Here is a 20,873-nt window from a genome sequence, read left to right as displayed (position 1 = left end):
CTTCTCTTTAGCTTTTCTGAATTCTCAACATTGTCTCACTATTTTAATCTCTGATCTTGTTTCTGTTGAACTTCTTTAGATTAGAAATCTAGTGTTGGACTTGCTATCCTTGCTTTGACCTTCAGCACTCCTCAAGGGCTTCAGTTACATCACAAGGACAATAAATGAGGATTTAGAACTCAAACCAATGTAGCCCTCATAGGGCCTGTCCTGAAATCGTGACAGCAAGACCAGAGGATAATAGCTATCCTACCCCAGGTTCCTAGGCTGGGTGTGTTTGCCCACATTCACTCTCTACAAGCACTTCAGAGAAGTGTGCATATGGCCCTGGGGTTGGGAAATCCCTGCCCTGGGTATCTGCCACCATTATATACTAAGAAATTTGTCTGTTATTACTAGATTCTTCTGGTTTTTCTTTAAGATTTTTTTTTTTAGGCACCAGATTTGTAGGGAAAAGGAACAAGTTCCATCTCTGTTCCTTTCTGGTGGTGGGTCATCACCTCCTGTGGCCCTGCAGAAGTCTGCAGGTCTGGGACATCCAGCAATACTGACTACTGAGCAACATGTTCCATGGGTCTGAGTTCCATGGGTTTGTGGCCAGCAATGTCCTCCACTGACTACAGCAGGGAGAGGTGTCTGTACCTTCTTTTACATAACCAAGAGCTAGATGGGAAACCTGCCTCTTAGCTTAATTTCTAGCTTCTCTACTCCGGTTCTCTGTATATTGGTTTTACCTTTTCACATTTACACATTTGAATTGGTGATCCACTTTGGAGCTTGCAGTTTTAACTATATCCATTATCTCTCCTTTGGAGAGCAGGATTGTAAAGTCAGCTTTCCAGCTTCACTCATAACAACTAAAAGTAAGAGTTTTCTTGTCCTCAGACTTTTCCTAGTCTTTCATAATGTGCAATCTGCCCGAGTCCATTATTCACTCAACCCTCGACTACTCACTAGCAGAATAGACAAATGACCCAGAGAGAAACATGACTATAGGAGAAAATACCATAAAGGGAAGGTCTTGTTTAAGGGAAATTGATGGGAAAGTTAGGTTTGGAAAGGAAAGACAATCTATTTTCTCCCTTTACCAGGGATGTTACAAAAATAAAAACAGATGGCTCAGAAATAAAAGAAGAGATGACCTGGTCAAATATATTTGTAAACATGCTGGTAATAGGCACTAATAATAGTAACTAGTCCGGGCGTGGTGGCTCACGCCTGTAATCCCAGCACTTTGGGAGGCTGAGGCGGGCCGATCACCTGAGGTCAGGAGTTCGAGACCAGCCTGACCAACATGGTGAAACCCCGTCTCTACTAAAATACAAAAATTAGCTGGGTGTGGTGGGTGCCTGTAATCCCAGCTACTTGGGAGACTGAGGCAGGAGAATCAGTTGAAACTGGGAGGTGAAGGTTACAGTGAGCAGAAATCGCACCATCGCACTCCAGCCTGGGCAACAGAGCTAGACTCTGTCTTAAGATGATGATGATGATAATAATAATAATAAGCCGGGTGCGGTGGCTCACGCCTGTAATCCCAGCACTTTGGGAGGCCAAGGCAGGCAGATCACTTGAGGTTGGGAGTTCGAGACCAGCCTGACCAACATGGAGAAACCCTGTCTCTACTAAAAATACAAAATTAGCCAGGCATGGTGGCGCATGCCTGTAATCCCACCTACTTGGGAGGCTGAGGCAGAAGAATCGCTTGAACCCGGGAGGCAGAGGTTGTGGTGAGCTGAGATTGCACCATTGTACTCCAGCCTGGGCAACAAGAGCAAAACTCTGTCTCAAAATAATAATAATAATAGGAACTAGAGGGACAGCCCTTACCTGTGGAATGCTACTAGCAGGATATACCTTGTCTGTCTAGGTTGCTTATTATAAATAAACCTGGAATTCGTGGATTTATGGGGCATGGCACATTGGAAAATGTCATGTAAGCCATGTAATTAGCGGGGTATAAAAAGGGAATGAATAACTGAAATGGCTTCTCTTGTGCATGTTCTATCTCAGACTTCTTATGTTTCACCCAGATGCATCCTTTGAATTAGTAATAAAAGTCAATAATGGGTATAAGTTCTGATTCCTATGAGTCTTTAAAATATAAATATCATAGAAAAATAGATATAAACTTTTCATGAGGAATGACCTAGAAAACAAGCCTCAGCAATAAAAAAAAAGTTTGGAAAATTTGTTTTAGCATAATAAGGGGATGGCATTATATATACTTAACTGAGAACTAAGGCTGATGGTGATAAAAGAAACAAAATAGTATGTAAATCTTATGTGGGACTAATACAACTACCAGAAAAGAAGCAGAAGGGTGAAAGTAAGTGGAAAACAAAATAAACTCATTGATTGACTCATAGACATTATTTAAGAATAAAAGAATATCAGTCGGAGCTTATAAATCAAGCTCCAAGAAGCTTAAGGAGGTATTTTTAATCCAAAGATTAGCACTTAAGAACACAGCAATTAAAATTGGATAGAGGAGGAGAGGGAAGAGAGAAGGAAAGAACAGATTACTGGATAGCGTCAGTGTTGTTCATGGCAGGAAAACAATAGATACATATTATATAAAGAAAGTGAGGACTAGAACATTAAATAACAAGGAGAAATATAAATTAAAATCAACGTGAAATATCATGATTAACTCATCAAAATGGAAAAGATCACAAAGCTTGATAATACTCTGCATTGCTGAGAACAGCATGTGGAAGAGGCATTTACAAACTCTATAGAGGGTAATTTGGCAACATTTGATAATTAAAGGGATAGGAATTAATTATTCTACCTTCCTATGTGAATGGTCTTTAACCATTTTGGAGGAACCAAGTGCCCTGACTGATAAGGAAAAGCTCTTTTTTACCTAATTCCAGGAAATGACTTTGGAAGGAATAAGATTAGAAGTATTGCCATACCACAAACCTTAATGAAAATAATGGATGAAATTATTAAATAAAAGGTTAATGAGAAACAATGAAAGAATCATGTGGTTGCCACTTGAACCACTCATGAATCTCACAGTGAACACGAGTAGGACAACCAGAAATAATGCATTGAAGTATGGGCAGGTGAAGAGACATTGGAACTGAAATTTGCTGTAAAATACTTCAGCAAAAACAGTAACAACAACAAAGAAAAAAAGTGATAGATAAAAGTGTGGCAAAATGTTGACAATTGCTGAATCTTGGTGATGGGATTCATTATACCACTATCTCTATTTTATATATGTTTGAAATTTTTCATACTAAAAAATAGGACATACATACCTGCATCTTTATATGTGAATCAGCTTGCAATAATTTAATTTTGGATAGCGAATTAAAGATAAATGGAAAATCACTGAAAATAACAGGACTGGGGGTTTCTGCAGGTATCTAAAAAATAAACAGAGATAATAGTTTTGATAATTAAAAACAATGAAAAAAAACTTACTTCCTTTACCTTATCGCCTTTTTTTTGGAATCTGGTTTTTGTGGTTCTTTGTTTTTTTAAGGCAGAGTCTTGTTCTATTGCCCAGGCTGGAGTGCAGGGGCATAAACTTGGCTCACTAAAACCTCCTTCTCTGGGCTCAAGTGATCCTCCCACCTCAGCCTCTTGAGTAGCTGGGAGTACAGATACGTGCTACCACGTATTTGTATTTTTTCGATAGAGACAGCGTTTCACCATGTTGCCCAAGCTGGTCTCAAACTCCGGGGCTCAAGCAATCTGCTCACCTTGGCCTCCCAAAGTGCTGGGATTACAGGTGTGAGCCACTGCACCTGGCCTCAGAAATCTGTAAGAATCCGAATTACTTAGAAACAAAATTTCAAAAACTGCATTTGTTTTATGATTAAAATATATTTAAGTTTTCAGTGATCATCAAATTTAGCAAATTTATCATTGCAATTAAAAAATTTTCAAATCCTGATTTATCAAAGAGTACCTTTACAGATACTACAGTAATGTGTCTTCCTTTAAAATATGAACATTTTCAGAAGTAAAAATGTTATTCTTACCAGGTGGTTATCCCGAAAGAGCTGTCTTCCTCTATCTATATAAAAGTTTAATAAGTTGGAGAGTTCATTTATGTTGAAAGTATTTTCTGGTAGTCGACAGTTAGCTTTGTTTACCTTAAAGAGAATATGACCTGTGAATTTCATTTTCTATCAATAAGTGATTTAATCTATGATATATAGATATATATGTATGGCTGTTATACAGATAAGAAGAAGAAAGCTCTCTAAACTGAAAACATTTGTCAGTGATGAAATAGAGTTCTATAAAGTTTCCATTTTCTGAGCTATAATTTCCTTAATTTTCATGAAGAAATGTCAAAGATAAGACGCTGACAGTGTGGATTAGTAAACTAATTTTTAGGGCATAGATTTACTGGAAATAGTTTCTAGATTTTGAGAATAAAAGCACCATAAAAATCCAAGGTACTTTTAACAAATTCAGCACTTTGCTCCTTAATTAATAAATACTAACTTGGCACACACTATTTTTGTCAAGCACAGGACAAATCTTTAGATTAAAATGTCCTGTCTTACACAAATGAATGTGGATCTATTCCCATAAAACTGTATTTGCAAAAACAGGAGACTGCCCTTGGGTGTAGATTGACAATCTGTGGTCTAGTAGGTAAAAACAACAAGTTACCAGGAATTTAGGATACAGTTTCTGATTGGGGAAAGACTTAAGAGGTTCAAGAAGGCTTCCTAGAGGAAGCATCAGTGATCTAAATGATCTAAATGCCTCCATCACAAAAATGAATCCAAATGATAGAAGGTGGGAAATAAGAAACTTAAGAACATAAATTAAGGAAATGAAAAACAAATATACAGGAGCAAGATCAACAAATGAAAAGACTGCGTCTTTAAAAAAGAAAAAACAATTTCCTGGTAAGACTTTAAAAAAAACAAAAAAAAAAACCAGTATCAAGAATGAAAAATGGGGCAAAACTACAGATTGTGATGAGATTAAAAAGATAAAAATAGGACATTTGAAAACTTAGATAAAGAGACAAATCCTGGGGAAATACCCAGCAATACAAGAAAAAAATAGAAAATCTCAATAATCCTGTGGCTGTTAAATAAATTAAACCCATAATTTAAAAAACTTCCGACAAAGAAATTTCCAGACCCAAAAGGTTTATAGATTAGTTCTACCTATCATTTAAGGAAAATGCTAGTATTATACAATCTTTTACATAAAATAGAGAAAGAATATTCCCCAAATAATTTCATGAGATTAGCATTACCTGGTCCAGAAACCTCACAGGGGCATTATGAGAAAGTAAAATAACAAACCAGTCTCACTCATGAATATAGATGCAAATATGATAAGCAAAATATCAGCAAATGGAATCTTTGAAATCTATAACACATGAGCAGGCTGTGTTACTTCAAGTAGATAAAGTTAAAACAGCTGAAAACCCATCTGTGTATTTTGCCATCGTATGCAGAAAAAGCATTTAATAAAATTCAGTATCCATTCATGATCTAAAAGAACAAAGCCCTCAGCAAACTAGAAATAGAATGAAGTTTCCTTAACCTTTTAAAAACGTATCTACAAAAATCCCACAGCAAAACATAAAACTGGATGTTAAGGTTTTCCCTTTGAGATCAGAATAAGGTTATAAAACATTATACTGGTTGTCCTAGCCAATGAAATAAGTAAAGAAAAATAAATAGGAACAAAACTGTTATTATTTCAAGTTATATGATTCTATACAGAGAAAATCCAAAGAAGTCAAGAGATTAGTTTTAGTAGGTAAATTTAACAAGATTGTTAAAAAACAAGCTTAATGTATAAAAATTACTGCATTTCTATACATCAAAGACAGTTAAAAATTTAACTTTTAAGAGGAAAAAGTAGATGAATTTATCATCAAAATAAAAAACATTTGTGCATAAAGACACCATGGTGAAAGTGAAAAAACAACACATGGGAAAATACTAGCAAATCGTATATCCGATAAGGGACTTGTAACTGTATGTAAAGAACTCTTATGACTCAATAATAAAAAGACTAATAAACTAATTTTAAAATGGACAAAAGACCTAAATAAACATTTCTCAAAATAAGATACAGAAATGGGCAATAAGCATATGAACTGCTCAACATCATTAGCCATCAAGGAAATACAAGTCAAAATCACAAGGAAATATCATTTCCCACTCACTAGGATAACTATAATCCAAATGACAGATAATAACAAGTGTTGGCAAGAATGTGGAAAAGTGGTCGGGTGCGGTGGCTTATGCCTGTAATCCTAGCACTTTGAAAGACTGAGGTGGGTGGATTACTTGAGGTCAGGAGTTCGGGACCAGTCTGGCCAACATGGTAAAACCCAGTCTCTACAAAAATACAAAAATTAGCCAGGCATGGGGTGTACACCTGTAATGCCAGCTACTTGTGAAGCTAAGGCAGGAGAATCGCTTGAACCTGGGAGGTGGAGGTGGCAGTGAGCCGAGATCCTGCCACTGCATTCCAGCCTGGGCAACAGAGCAAGAATCCGTCTCAAAAAAAAAAAAAAGAAAAGAAAAGAAAAAAGAACGTGGAAAAACTAGAACTGTCATACATTGCTAGTGGTAATACAAAATGGTGTAGCTGCTTTGGAAAACAGTCTGCTGGTTCCTCACAAGATTAAACTAGAGTTGCCATATGACCCAGATATCCCACTCTTGGGTATATACGGGAAATGAAAACATGTCTACACAAAAATTTGTACAGACATTTAAATAGCGGCATTATTCATAATAGCCAAAGAGTGGAAATAACCCAAATATCCATCAATTGAGGAAGGGATATATAAAATGTGGTATTTCATACAATGCATTATATTATTCATCAATAAAAAAGAATGAAGTACTCATACATACTCCAACATAGATGAACCTTGAAAACATTATGCTAAGTGAAAAAAGCTAGTTACAAAAGACTACATAATGTGTGATTCCATTTACATAAAATGTCCAGAATAGGCAAATCTGTAGAGACAGAAAGTAGATTAGTGATTGCCTAGGGCTGGAGTGAGAATAAGGGGATGGGAGTTGAGGGGGAATGGGGAATGGGGAGTGACTGCTAATGGGTATAGGGCTTCTTTTTGGGTGATAAAAATGTTGTAAAGTTGATTTGGGTAAAGGTTATACAACTCCATGAATATGCTAAAAAGTATTACATTGCACATTTTATTTATTTATTTTTATTTTTAAAAAAATAGAGACAAGGTCTCACTATGTTGCCCAGGCTGGTCTCAAACTCCTGAGCTCAAGCAATCTTTCCACCCTAGCTTCCCAAAGTGCTGGGATTACAGGCATGACATTGTATATTTTAAATGAGAGAATTATATCTCAATAAAGCTGTTTTAAAAAGATATATAACCACATAAAATATCAAGTACTCATGATTTATCTAATAAAAGACTGCAAGACTTCTACATAGAACACTATAACATATTATTGTAAGAAACTGCAGAACTAAATAAACAGAGAGCTATGTCATGATCAGACTTAGAAGACTCAGTAAAGTTGTCATTCTCTCTCCAATTGTTCTATAGATTCATTTCACTACCAGGTCAAAGACACAATCAAAAGCCCGACAAATGGAATTTGTGGAATTGGAACAAAAAGGTAATTCTAAAGTTAATATTTAAGTTTAACAATAACACTGAAGGAGAAGATAAAAGTTGAAACTTTATCACATATCAATATTTATTATAAAGATACAGTAACTTGTACGGTGTTATACAGGTACAAGGATAGATTAACAGCCAAATGAATACTTGATTTTCAACACAAGGAGTACTACAAAGCGCCAGGGAAAGAGGTGTATTTTATTAAGAAGTAAATTTAACCTAGAAAGAAAACGAAAGTTAGTGTGAGAAACAGTGCCCTGCTCTGACACCCTATATATAGTAAGAGAGAATGAAACCCAAAAAGAAAAAAGCCGAGAGAGAGAGAGAGCAGAGGGAGAGGGAGAGGAGAAGACAGAGGATTGATGACAATGTTTGAGGGAGAGGGAGAGGGAGAGGGGAAGAGAGAGGATTTATGACAATGTTTGGGTCCTAGGATGTACGTCTGAAGTTAGCATGACCTAATATTGTGCTTTCTCTATCACAACATTAGTAAAACAAATATAGTCTTCCAATTGTCCACAATACTAGAGACCATTCCAGAACCGAGACCAAATATTATGTTTATTAATTGCAGCTTAAGACAGTAAATTACAGTGTAATGGTCTTAATTACTAATTCATTATTAATTAGTTTAATAGCTTTTCTTCCTAGGCACAAGAACATCAAAGCATAAATCCTTCAGGTATCAGCAATGACATCACTTAAGAATTTCTCAGAATCTTTGGCACCACCCCAGGCCTACCGGATCAGAATCTGAATTTTTTAACAAGATCTCAGGTAACTTGCATGCATATTAAAGTTTAAGAAGTGCTGCCCTAGGTGCCTTAGACATTAGTGCTCATTACTCTGGTCTACTTCTCTGGAATTTAAGAGCTCTTCTGTGAATCACTGATCACTGTGAATTCAGACACTCATCTGTAACATGGTTGTGTCAATCTTTAGATCTAGTCAAGAGTCCAGTCTGATTTCTCTTTATTGGGACTACCACCCAAAGCAGAATGAGGATGATGTAACCACGCCCAGTGACTTCTGGATACCACTGACTCTAGGTAACTCTACTAAAACAGACTTTGCATTCTTGGTGACCCTAATGTTGACACAGCCATAGAGAACGTGGACACCAAATCCTAATGGCCTCATTTGATATTTCTACAGTGGGATTTAGCAAATATTCTGATATAGACAGACTGAGTTGATCTAACAGTATCCATTGGGCCCTTTCTTTGTTCTGGCCATAGTCCTCGGTGAACTTTTCTTCCTTTCTATTTAATTTTTACTAAGTTACAAATAAAACATATATGTTTCATTTATAAATCACATATCTGGGCTGGGCACAGTGACTCACGCCTATAATCCCAGCATTTTGGGAGGCGAGGCAGGCGGATCACTTGAGGTCAGGAGTTCGAGACCAGCCTGGCCAACATGGTGAAACCCCATCTCTATTAAACATACAAAAATTATCTGGGTGTGGTGGCAGGTGCCTGTAATCCCAGCTATTCCGGAGGCTGAGGCAGGTGAATCACTTGAACCCAGGAGGCAGAGGTTGCAGTGAGCCAAGATCACACCACTGCACTCCAGCCTGGGCAACAGGGCTAGACTCTGTCTCAAGCAAACAAACAAACAAACAAAAAAATCACACATGTGTAGTGTGATGGGTCTCTCACCAAGTTACTTAAGGGTTTTTATCCAGTGCCTTAACCCTGAAGGCCAGGCAATGAGCCAAGGCCACGGTGCCCAGCTGAGGAGCAGGTGTCCCTGAGAACCCAAACATCCTGGAGAGTATCTGAGAACCTACCAAGAAAAACATTCTCATGGCTCAAACACTGTAGCTCTTTGAGCCAGAAAATTCGCTTAAAAGCAGTTTAGAGATGGGAGGCAGCACAGATCACTAGAGCTGTCCTATTGCCGTCCAGGAGTGCCCTGTATGTAAGTCCTAATAGACAACATCTACTCATCAAGCTGGGCTTGTCCTAAGTCATTTTTTGGTCTTTTGGCTCGCTCCTACTTTGAGGGAGGGTTTTTCTATGTGATTCTGGGTTTTTTTTCTTACAACATACATTGACTAAGTGCATACATCTTAAATGTGCAGCTTGGTGAGTTTTTACACACATACTCACTTGGGTAAGTACTGTCCAGGTGAAGACATGGAACATTTCTAGCAGGCCCCAGGATGTTCTCCTATGCTCCTTCCAAACCAATTGCCCTTCCCAAGAGGTAACACCATTCTGCTTTCTGTCATTATAGATTAGCTCTGCTTGTTTTTAAAATTCTTATAAAAGATGACATAGAGTGTAATTTTTGGTGTGTTTTTTGCTTATCACTGTGTTGATGAGATTCATCCATGTTGTTGTATGTTGTTACATGTAGCAGTATCTTCAGTGTACTTTACTTTTTTTTTTTTTTAAGAAATGTGGTTTTGCTCTGTCACCCAGGCTGGGGTACAGTGGCACAATCATAGCTCACTGCAGCCTCAAATTCCTGGGCTCAAGCCATCCTCCCACCTCAGCTTCCAGAGTAGCTAGAATTACAAGCACAGTGTACTTTTTCTTAATGAAAGAAGTCCATTACAAAACATCTTAAGTCCTCCTAAAGTTTCTCAACTTTTAAATCCCTAATTATTTTATGCCAAACATTTCCCTTTTCTATACTCCTTTAAAAAACATTTGACTCCTCATGATTTTTATTTGACTTCTTAGAAGTCCAACTGGTTGAGACTTAAGGGATTTTGATTACATAAAATAGTACATGCATTCCTTTAGAGTAACCCTTACCTTATGCAGTTCTTTCATCATTCCTAAAAGAGCTTTAACATTACAGTGATCCTGTTCGGTTTTAGTCTGATGAAGCAGCTGAGAGATGATGGCTGCTTTAAGCATCTGGATCAGCGGATTCAGAGAAGATTCTTGCAAAAATGCCCAACACTTCTCTGGGGGTGTAAAATTAGCCATGATAAATATGTTTTTCCTACCACCCCCCAAATCTCTGTTTCTAGTGGGTTCTTTAATGTAAGAAATAGATAATATTTTACATTTCTGATGGCATAATTTATGAATATCTTTTTTAAGTATATCCTGCACAACAGTTACTGCTCACAGATGTGGAAATTTTTTTCCCTTATTAAGTATCATTAGAATTTTGAAAAGCTCAAATTCAGGATTTGAAGAAATTGGTTAATGGCTCACATTTATGCTTAATTGATTGACTTCATGATTTTCAAACTGACAATTGTATAGGGTATCTATGAAGTCTGAAAACACACACAGGTGAATACACAAACACATACAATGGCATCAAGGACGTTTTTAATCTGTAAAAAATGAAAAAATATTATATATGTGTTTGGATTTTATGAACATCTGGTACATGGCCATGTACTTTTTAAAATAGCCAATAATTATATTTTAATATTACTGGATTGCAACATGGATTTGGAATGTGGAACCTTTAAATTCTCAGAATAACTCTCAGAAAACAAATAAATTTGATGTTAAAATACATTATCAAGCAAATGTAATTAAAACAGTATTACCTAGATATATGAAAAGCAAACACATAGAGATTCCATAAGTAGACTCAAATACACACGAAACTTTAATACATAATAAATGCGGCATTGCATATTAGTGGGAATGAAAAAGATTTAATAAATATGTGGGGAAAACTGGAAACTGATCTAGAAAAAATAGTGTTTAACCAAGATAAACTTCATATGGATCAAATATTTAAATATAAAAATAAAATAATAACAATTACAGCAGGAGGATGGGAATTATTTTAGTTATAAATTATTTTTGAAGTATGACCCCAAATCCAGAAACCATAGAATAAAATATTAATATAGTAGGCTACATTAAAATTTTTTAAAATAATTCTGCATAGCAAAAATACCACAAAGTAAAAAAAAATTTTTAATAGCCTAAATACTTGCAATTCATATTATTGATAAAGGATTAATTGCCTTCATAATTAAAAAGCTCCTAAAATAAAACAGAAAAATACTAACAACCAATAGGAAAAGAGCAAAGAAGGAAGAATAGCAAAACCGCTCTCACAGGGTTAATGGGAATTATAAGCCAGGCTTTATGCAGAATTATGGTCATTGACGAGGTCAATTGACTAGGGTGTGCTGGTGCACTTCAACCCACTTCCCTGAGCTGATAACTAACCCTGAGTCACACAGCACACTGAGCACCTGCTCTCCCATTGTTCCTATGGATAAAATCTCTGACACTGGACCTTTTTACCCAATAATTATTTAAGGCATTTTGCAGATCCTGAATTCCAGCAGAATGGCTGACACCAACTGGTCTGAAGACCCTCACCAAGGAACTGACTCAGTGCAGGAATGCAGTTTCTTCATCTCCCTATCCCTGACTTCACCCCTCACTTCTCAACCAATCAGTGATCACCACACTTTAGGCCATCACCTGTGTCCAGACCCCTTAAAAACCCCATCTGCAAACCTCTTGAAGAGGCATATTTGAGGTTTCCTCTCATCTCCTCATTTGGTTTCCCTACAATTATTAAATTCTTTCTCTGCTGCAACTCCTACTTTTTCAGTGTATTGGTCTGTTACTGTGCAACAGGAAATCAGACCTGGTGGTCCTATAGTAAGAGTTCACAGAATATGATATACAAAGTGATCTGTGATATACAAAAACCGGCACAATCTCACTCTTAATAAGAAAAATTCAACTTAAAATTAAAAGTTTTTTTTCCTCAGAATGGCAAAGATCAAAGTTTGATAACATGGTTGGAAAGTATGCAGACCGATATTCTCATATTCATTGATGAAGTGTAAATTGATACATCCTTTGTCAGTACGGACAGGTTTCCCAACTCTAGGGGTGAAATTTATACAGACTACAGTGTGAATGACAACCACTTCAAATTGGGTGATATGATGACCTTGACTCTGTGGAGGGTCATTTGGCAAAATATCTCAAAATAAAAATGTACATACAATTTGACTCAGTGATTTTGCTTTCTGGAATGTTTCCTGCATGTGTGAATTTATATATGTACAATGAAATGCTTCACAATAGAACATTCTTCAGCCATTAAATAGAATGAGGCAGTTCTATAGATTCTCTATTGGAATGATCTCCATGATATCCTGTTTAGTGGGAGAAAGCAAGTTGTGGAAGAGGAACTTTAATAGTTTGCTACCATTAAAAACAGAAATAATACATTTGTATGTTTCTATATATAGAATATCTTTCAAACGTTACACAAGAAACTAGAACCTGTAGCCACTTCTGGGAGGGGAACTGGGTGGCTTACATTTCATTGTACATATCCTCTGTACCTTTTTGTTTTTCTTTGAGATAGGGTATTGCTCTGTCACCCAGGCTGGAGTGCAGTGGTATGCTGATAGCTTACTGCTGCTGTCAGAGGCATTTGAACCAGAGCAACTCCATCTTGAATAGGAGCTGGGTAAAATAAGGCTGAGACCTACTGGGCTACCATCCCAGACAGTTAGGCGTTCTAGATGACAGAATGAGATCGGAGGTCAGCACAAGATACAGGTCATAAAGACCTTGATGATAAAACAGCTTGCAGTAAAGAAGCCGGCTAGAATCCACCAAAACCAAGATGGCAATGAGAGTGACCTCTGGTCGTCCTCACTGCTGTACTTTCACCAGCACCGTGACAGTTTACAAATGCCATGGCAATGCCAGGAAGTTACCCTATATGATCTAAAAAGGGGAGGTATGAATAACCCACCCCTTCTTCAGCACATAATCAAGAAATAACCATAAAAATGGGCAACCAGCAGCCCCAAGGAGCTGCTCTGCCTGTGGAGTAGCCATTTTTTATTCTTCTACTTTCTTAGTAAACTTACTTTCACTTTATAGACGCTCCCTGAATTATTTCTTGTGTGAGATCTAAGAACCCTTGTTTGGGATCTGGATTGGGACCCCTTTCCAGTAATACAGACTTAAACTCCTGGGCTCAAGTGATCCTCCTGCCTCAGCTTCCAAGTAGCTGGGACCACAGGTGTGTGCCACCATGCATGGCTGATTTAAAAAAAAAAAAATTGGTAGAGTCGGGGTCTCACTATGTTGCCCAGGCTGCCCTCAACCTCCTGGGCTCAAAAGATTCTCTCACCTTAGTCTCCCAAAATGCTAGGATTAAGGTGTAAGCCACAATGCCTGGCCCTCTGTACCTCTTAAGTGAAGGAGTCCAGGGAAATTTGCCCCAAAATATGGCACCCTGGTATGCTGATTATTTTAAGTTAAAGGCCCTTGAAGGTCAGCAGATGCTGGAAAAGGCTTTTCTCTGACACTCCCTTATCTACCTTAAGACTGGACCCACTACAGAGAACAGAATTGCCTTTCATGCCATCTCTGAAATTACATTATCTGTCACAGACAAGACGACTGAGGAATGTAACCACACCTAGATGTATTTTTTCAAAAGATAATGCCTGCCTCTCAGGCTCATTCCAATTCCAAGGAGAATCATTTACAAGTTAATTTCTGTTTCCTGGGTCACTCATTCTCCCTAATAGTCATTTACTACTCCTCAAAAGAATTGTCTACATTCCCTACCTCCCCTCTCCTCTATGTAGAAGGGTATATAAACATCTGGACCCCATTGGGTTATTGGGTAATCACTGAACTTTCAATATACGCTAAAAGCTATAAAAGGACATAATACAGTACTGAATAAAGTAAATAATAATAATACAAAGTTTAACATTTGTTTTTCATCATCTGGTCAAAATGTCAAAAGTTTCAAAATAACATGAGCAAAAAATTTTAAAGTATGGATTGATCTTGATTGAATACTTTATAGCTACCAAACTCTGATGTCAAAGCCACATCCAAGTCTAAAATGAATACCTTATAGCTACCAAACTCTGATGTCAAAGCCACATCCAAGTCTAAAAACTACACCTGCTTTGTATGATAGAACTAATAATTATAATAGCTTTAGATTATTAATCTTTTCAATAATTTACATGCCATGTTCTCAAATACTTGTCTATTTTGAAATCTTCTATTCAAAATTTGCTACAACGTCTACTTCAGAGAGTGACTCTATATTGAGAGTACAGATAAAGTGACATAAAACTTACTTAGGACTTGCAAAGATTGTTTACTCATTTCACACACAGCCTTTGCAAATGGAACCACCAGGTTCTTCCAGTTCTTAGAATCATGCATCACAGGACATTCTGGGAGCAGGAGGAAAACTGATAAAGCTTCTTGGTGTGGAGAATGGCATGGAAGAGCTCTGAGCAGATCATCCTCGAGACACGTAGTTATCTGTGGTAAAAATAGGATCAGGGAACAGACCCAGGATATATTAGATACAGAGGATTGTGAGAAGCAAGCTGTGAAATTAAGGGTTTCACTCCACCATGTTCCAATTAGAATAATCACTTAGCCATTCTGAAACCTATTGATGAGACTCCATCACTCCTTCCATCCCAAATACCCCTGATATAGTACATGAGAGCCATCCTCCTCATTTTATATCAGGTTCCCTGAAGAAAATAAAGTGAAATCCCATGAGCATGGATATACTGAGTGAATTATGGATTCAAAACGAATACAAAGCCCTTCAAAAGCAATGTTGTATGCAGGTCACATTAGTATTCCTCCTTCTAGAAGGAAGAGCTGTCCCCTTCCCCTCACACAATATCCATTTCTTTCTTTCTGTTTTCTCATGTATCAGTAGAAAAATTTGCAGAGAAAAATAGCTCTAAATTTTTATATTATTTATTTCATCCAGAGGTAAAGTTTTACTTCAGCGTGTAGTGGCTCAATTACAGCTGGAGTGCAGTGGCTCAATCATAGCTCACTGCAGCCTCAAGCTCCTTGGTTGAGGCAATCCTCCCACCTCAAGACTCCTAAGTGGAGTGCACTGCCACAGCCAGCCCATTTTAGAAAATTATTTGTAGAGATGGAGTCTCACTATGTTGCCCAGGCCAGTCTCAAACTCTTGGGCTCAGGTGATACTCCCACCTTGGCCTCCCAAAGTGCTAGGATTACAGGCATGAGCCAGTGTACCTGGCCCAGAAGTAAACTTTTAAAATAGGACGTATATAAAAACATACTAGTGGGAATAAACTTGTATGGTATTCTTTATATTTGTTTGAACATTCATTGAGTACTTACAATGTGTCAGGTGATCTCGTGTAAATCATTTTATTTAATCTTACTGATAATCCTGTAAGGTAATTTTTGCTTTATTTGTGTTTTACCTTGTTTTTACAGATGAGCAAGGAGAGACTCAGAGGAAGTCAGCGTTACTCGATTAGAAAGTGACTGTGGCACTACCATAGTAGTAAAATCTACCATGGCAGAGAAAATGCCATATGTTCACCTTGCCAGTCGTTTTTCTTTTTCCTCCTGGGTTTATAGGAAGATGGCAGCCCCTGGCTCCCCTGCAATCAGGCAGGGCCATGTGACTGAGTCTTAGCTCACCAATGTGGGAGAAAGTGATGTGTGACACATTAAGGCCAGGCCACTGAAACCTCTCATGGGAACTTCCATACTCACTTCCCTCATCTGCTAGCCAACCCAAAAGATTGAGTGGAGGATTTTACAGCCCCAGGGCCTAGAGATGCTGGAAAGAAGCCTGATTCAGCCCTGAATGAACCTGTGCAAAGGTGCCTCTGACCTCCAACCCTTGTTGGACTAGGATGTTGGAAAATACTGTGTTAAGCTACTGGGATTTCAAAGTTGTTTGTCATAGCAGCTAGCCATATTTACTCTACCTGATAGATCTATGTTCTGTAATTACAGTGTTTGCCTTTCATGTCCTAAGGGTAAATAAGTGATATATGCAACAATAAACTGTGATGTACTATATATTGTTTTTATTACATTAAAATTCTTAAAATTTGCTTTTTCACATGTCTAGCAGAATATGATTTCTGTGGAATGCCAGTAGGTGTTATGCCAGAAAATAGCATCACAATGTCAAATAACTCCAAGAAAAATAGGGTCAAAAGAGATTTCTTTTAGTGTATGACATCATAGAATCTTTGATTTCCTAATGCGCATATCATGACTCCATAATAGTAGGGAGTGTTCCCAAAGTTTTCTCATTAAGAACCCTTTTTTATGGGGTTTTTTATAAAACTAATGTCCCTTGGAACTTACACCGGGAACAGCACCCCAAATTATCTCCCATATCACCTAAATTCATTTAAGAAATATACTTCATAATATTTGCTATTATCACTTCATCTTGAAAATGAAAATATTGTATCTACTACACATTAAGGAACACTTTCCGCCTGTCCCTTCCAAGTATAAGGACCCACTCAGACCCATCAAAATGGTATAAAGATTATTTTACTAACTGAAGACATTTGAGATGCCTTTTTGGAGCTTCTTTTATCTAACTAATGCAGAGCTCTTCTAGTATGAAGCTCTTGTACATCCCCCATTGAGGAGCTACACTGCTAAAAAGGAGACCAATCATTCAGACAACTTGCATGTGGATGAGAAATTGCATAAACAAACATTCTCACAAACTGTCATACCTTCCATTTGTCTCCATAAAATCCCATTTGTTCTTCCCATAGGAGCCCTTTCTCCCTTCTCCCTTTCCTCCATTAAGTTGGTTTATAAATTCTTATCCCTAGCTGTTCAGGGAGCCTCTTCATCTGAATGCCCCACATGCAAGCGTACAAAACTTGTTTTTTTCCTCCTGTGCTATAGGCTAAATGTGTTCCCCAAAATTCATATGTTAAAATCCTAACCCCCAATATGATAGTATTAAGAGGTGGGGCCTTTGGTAGGTAATTAGGTCACAAGATTGGAGCTCTCATGAATGGATTAGTGCCCTTACAAAAGAGACCCCAGAGAGATTTCTTGCCCTTTTTGCTGTGAAAGGAAAATAAATCTTCGGGCCTCAAAATCACTAAGCTAAAGGGGAAAGTCAAGCTGGGAACTGCTTAGTGCAAACCTGCCTCCCATTCTGTTCAAAGTCACCCTTCTGTTCACTGAGATAGATGCATATCTGATGCCTCTTTTGGAGAGGCTAATCAGAAACTCAAAAGCATGCAACCATTTTTCTCTCATCTACCTAAGACCTGGAAGGCCCCTCCCTGCTTTGAGTTGTCCCGCCTTTCCAGACCAAACCAGTGTTCATCTTATATATGTGGATTGATGTGTCGTGTCTCCTGAAAATGTATAAAACCAAACTGTGCTCCCACTACCTTGGGCACATGTCATCAGGACCTCCTGAGGCTGTGTCACAGGCGTGTGTCCTCAATCTTGGCAAAATATACTTTCTAAATTAACTGAGACCTGTCTTAGATATTTGGGGTTCACACTGCCATGTGAGGACACTGAAAATATGGTCATCTATTAACCAAGAAGTGGGCCCTCACCAGACACCAAACCTGATGGTGCCTTGGTCTTGGACTTCCCAGCCTCCAGAACTGTGAGAAATAAATGTCTGTTGTTTAAGCTACCCAGTCTACAGCATCCTGAGCACTAAGAGATTCTGTTAATTATTAATTTTCAGTGACCCCATCCACCAGCTCAAACCTGAGTCAGGACAGGAAAAGAAAATTTTCTTCCCAATACAACCCAGAATCACACAATATTAAACTGGAATAGATTTTAAAGATGAATTCAACAGGTAAAGAAAATGTGATCCAAAGAGAAAGGATGAAGTAGTAACAGAGATTCATCTCAAATAGATGTAAGTTTCATCTCAGAATACAGAAGTGGCTTTTCAGTTGATCAGTCCAGGATAAGGTTATCCTGCTTCCCAAACCAATGCTCTTTTCCTATATCATGCTAGAGATTATCCACCTCTCGAGCATTGCTCTGATTATATTGAAAATAAAAATATTGTATCTATTGTACATTTAAGGATTCAATAAGAAAATAAATGTCAGCACCTAATAGTACCTGGAATATAGTAATTTCATAATGAACACTAGCCCCCTCTTTCGGCCCCAATCATAAAACCACCTTTGCAAAAGTATGACAGTAAGAGAAATCTGACATGGTTGACTCTATCTTGCTTCCAGCCTCACAGGTTGGCTGTCTTTTCTCATTCTTGGGCATGAGCCAAGCTAACTTTGGGAGAAATTTAGTTTATAGTTTAAATGATAATAGTCTGTCCCCAAAACTGAATTGTTCTTGTAAAACTAATGAAAGTCCAACAAGTTAGGAGGATGAAAGGGGCTTGAATTCTAAATAATTATCAGCCATTATTCTGGAGGTCATAAGATTTGCAACTTCCCCAATTACTCTTGCAAATAACATCATTATTTTAGAACTTAAGATTGGCCTTTTGAGATGTCTTTTCAGGTTTTTGCATTTCTGACAACTGGATGGTCCCACCTGGACCCATCAGCCAGTCCTGTGGCCCCCACCCAGGAACTGACTCAGCACAAGAGGACAGTTTCTATTCCCTATGATTTCATCTCTCACTCAGCCAGTCAGCATGCCCCCTACCCTAGCCCCCTGCCCACCAAACTGTCTTTGAAAAGCCCCTAAGCTGTGAGCCTGAGCCTTCATGAGATTGATTTGAGTAATAATTCTGTCTCCTACATGGCATGGCCAGCCTCATGTCAATTAAACTCTTTCTTTACTACAATGTCATAGTCTCAGTGGGTCGATTTTTGTTTCTGCAGTGGGCAGGAAGAACTCATCGGGCAATTACAATCATAGTTCCCATCTCACCCAGCTTCCAACAAAAATAAACTGCAATCGTATTTGTTCTATATCTAAAGTAAGTATTGGCTATTACCATGGAAGAAATCCATTCCTTTTTTGTTAACTTCTTGAAGGTATCTCTTGCCATTTCTAAGTCCACATCAATGGAAGTCGTTTCTCCAGTTCCTCTTTGGATACAAGAAATGCAAGAAACCACATAAACATAAGGAAAGGGATATTTCTAAAGTTTGTATGTCATTTGTTGCTTTATTACATATAAGATACAAACCTTTTTCTTAAAGCTTACCTCCTTTCAAAATAATCAACTTACTTGACATAAAAAATGTACAGTTTATGTTCTCCTTGTTAAAAGACAGTAGATAACAATTTATTATCTCTGTAGTGGCTACATCAAGTTTGGACTGCCATATTAACAAAATTTTACGTGCTGAATCTGACAACAGAAACCATCTGCCCCCGCACTCAGTTTGCACACTAAGAACTAGAACTACCTACCCCCCACCCTCCTTACCATTCATATTTACAGAACTTTGCAATTCCACTGTTTTTATTAGCATGACTTTACTTTTCCAGGAAACTTTTGCCCAGGCAAATGTAAATTGTTCATCATGGGAACTTCTTGAAAGACCCATTTAACTCTTCAATGGAGAGCATCAACAGTTTGTGCCCATAGATTCTTTGAATCCCTTATCTCAAAATCCTTACCTTACAGTTTGCACCCATCCTGGATTGTTGTACATTTACCCAGTCCAAGTCAAACCTCCAGCCTTCCCTCTCATATTGAAAGACCTCCTTAAGCCAGACTCCCAATTGTAAATAAATTCCGAACTGGTCTTTCCTCTCAGAAACAGTACCAACGCTTTGTCCAGGTGTGCTGTTCTCTCTGGCCTGTCTTATCAACAAGTTGTTTTAGTGATATTTGAGAGGCCAGCATTCAATAAGCCTAACCATTTTTAAATAATGCATTATCAAATATTGTATGCCAGCGGCAGTGGGTCATGCCTGTAATTCCAACACTTTGGGAGACCAAAGTGGGAGCATTGCTTGAAGCCAGGAGTTCAAGAGACTAGCCTGGGCAACATAGAGAAGACCTTGTCTCTACAAAAAAATTAAAAAAAAAAAAATTAGCCAGGCATGGTGGTGCACACCTGTAGTCCCAGCTACTTGTGAGGCTGAGGTGGAAGGATAGCTCAAGCCAGGAGTTCAAGGCTACAGGGAGCTATGATCAAACTACTGCATTACAGCGTGGGCAACAGCACAAGACCCCATCTCTAAACATTAAACAAAACCAAACAAACAAACAAACAAAATGCCGAGCATAGTGGCTCACGCCTGTAATCCCAGCACTTTGGGAGGCTGAGGTGGGCGGATCACTTGAGGTCAGTAGCTCGAGACCAGCCTGGCCCAACGTGGTGAAACCCTGTCTCTACTAAAAATACAAAAAAATTAGCTGGGCATGGTGGCGCATGCCTGTAATCCCAGCTACTCAGGAGGCTGAGGTGGAAGAATCACATGAACCCACGAGGCGGAGGCTGCAGTGAGCAGAGATCACGCCACAGCGCTCAAGCCTGGGTGACAGAGTGAGACCCTGT

At 38.1% G+C, this 20,873-nt stretch overlaps 1 protein-coding gene and 1 long non-coding RNA gene across 32 annotated transcripts in view; one reads left to right on the top strand and one right to left on the bottom strand.

Annotated features, from left to right (window-relative positions):
• LOC102723458 (uncharacterized) overlaps positions 1 to 16,489 on the top strand; it is a 56,224-nt gene extending 39,735 nt beyond the window's left edge. For 7 of the 26 annotated variants that reach the window (XR_938976.3, XR_938972.3, XR_938971.2 and 4 more), the window contains 4 exons: positions 7,544 to 7,616; positions 8,260 to 8,398; positions 8,564 to 8,670; positions 11,893 to 12,591. This is a non-coding gene — a long non-coding RNA (uncharacterized LOC102723458). Of the gene's footprint in view, positions 1 to 7,543; positions 7,617 to 8,259; positions 8,399 to 8,563; positions 8,671 to 11,881; positions 12,592 to 15,849 lie in introns of those variants that run through there. The other 19 variants (XR_007058182.1, XR_007058180.1, XR_427567.4 and 16 more) reach the window with 7 other exon arrangements.
• Positions 1 to 20,873, bottom strand: part of HERC6 (HECT and RLD domain containing E3 ubiquitin protein ligase family member 6) — a 64,246-nt gene that overhangs the window by 15,126 nt on the left and 28,247 nt on the right. For 3 of the 6 annotated variants that reach the window (XM_005263083.5, NM_017912.4, XM_047415866.1), the window contains 5 exons: positions 19,355 to 19,448; positions 14,706 to 14,895; positions 10,393 to 10,547; positions 3,999 to 4,112; positions 3,270 to 3,377 (listed from right to left, as the gene is read on the bottom strand). In XM_005263083.5, coding sequence (XP_005263140.1) covers positions 3,270 to 3,377; positions 3,999 to 4,112; positions 10,393 to 10,547; positions 14,706 to 14,895; positions 19,355 to 19,448 — 661 coding nt within the window. Of the gene's footprint in view, positions 1 to 3,269; positions 3,378 to 3,998; positions 4,113 to 10,392; positions 10,548 to 14,705; positions 14,896 to 19,354; positions 19,449 to 20,873 lie in introns of those variants that run through there. The other 3 variants (XM_011532053.4, NM_001165136.2, XM_047415867.1) reach the window with 2 other exon arrangements.

Source organism: Homo sapiens, chromosome 4, assembly GCF_000001405.40.
Source record: "Homo sapiens chromosome 4, GRCh38.p14 Primary Assembly".
NCBI lineage: Eukaryota > Metazoa > Chordata > Mammalia > Primates > Hominidae > Homo > Homo sapiens.
Note: the sequence above shows the minus strand (reverse complement) of the source record. Positions and strands in the feature narration are given on the sequence as shown.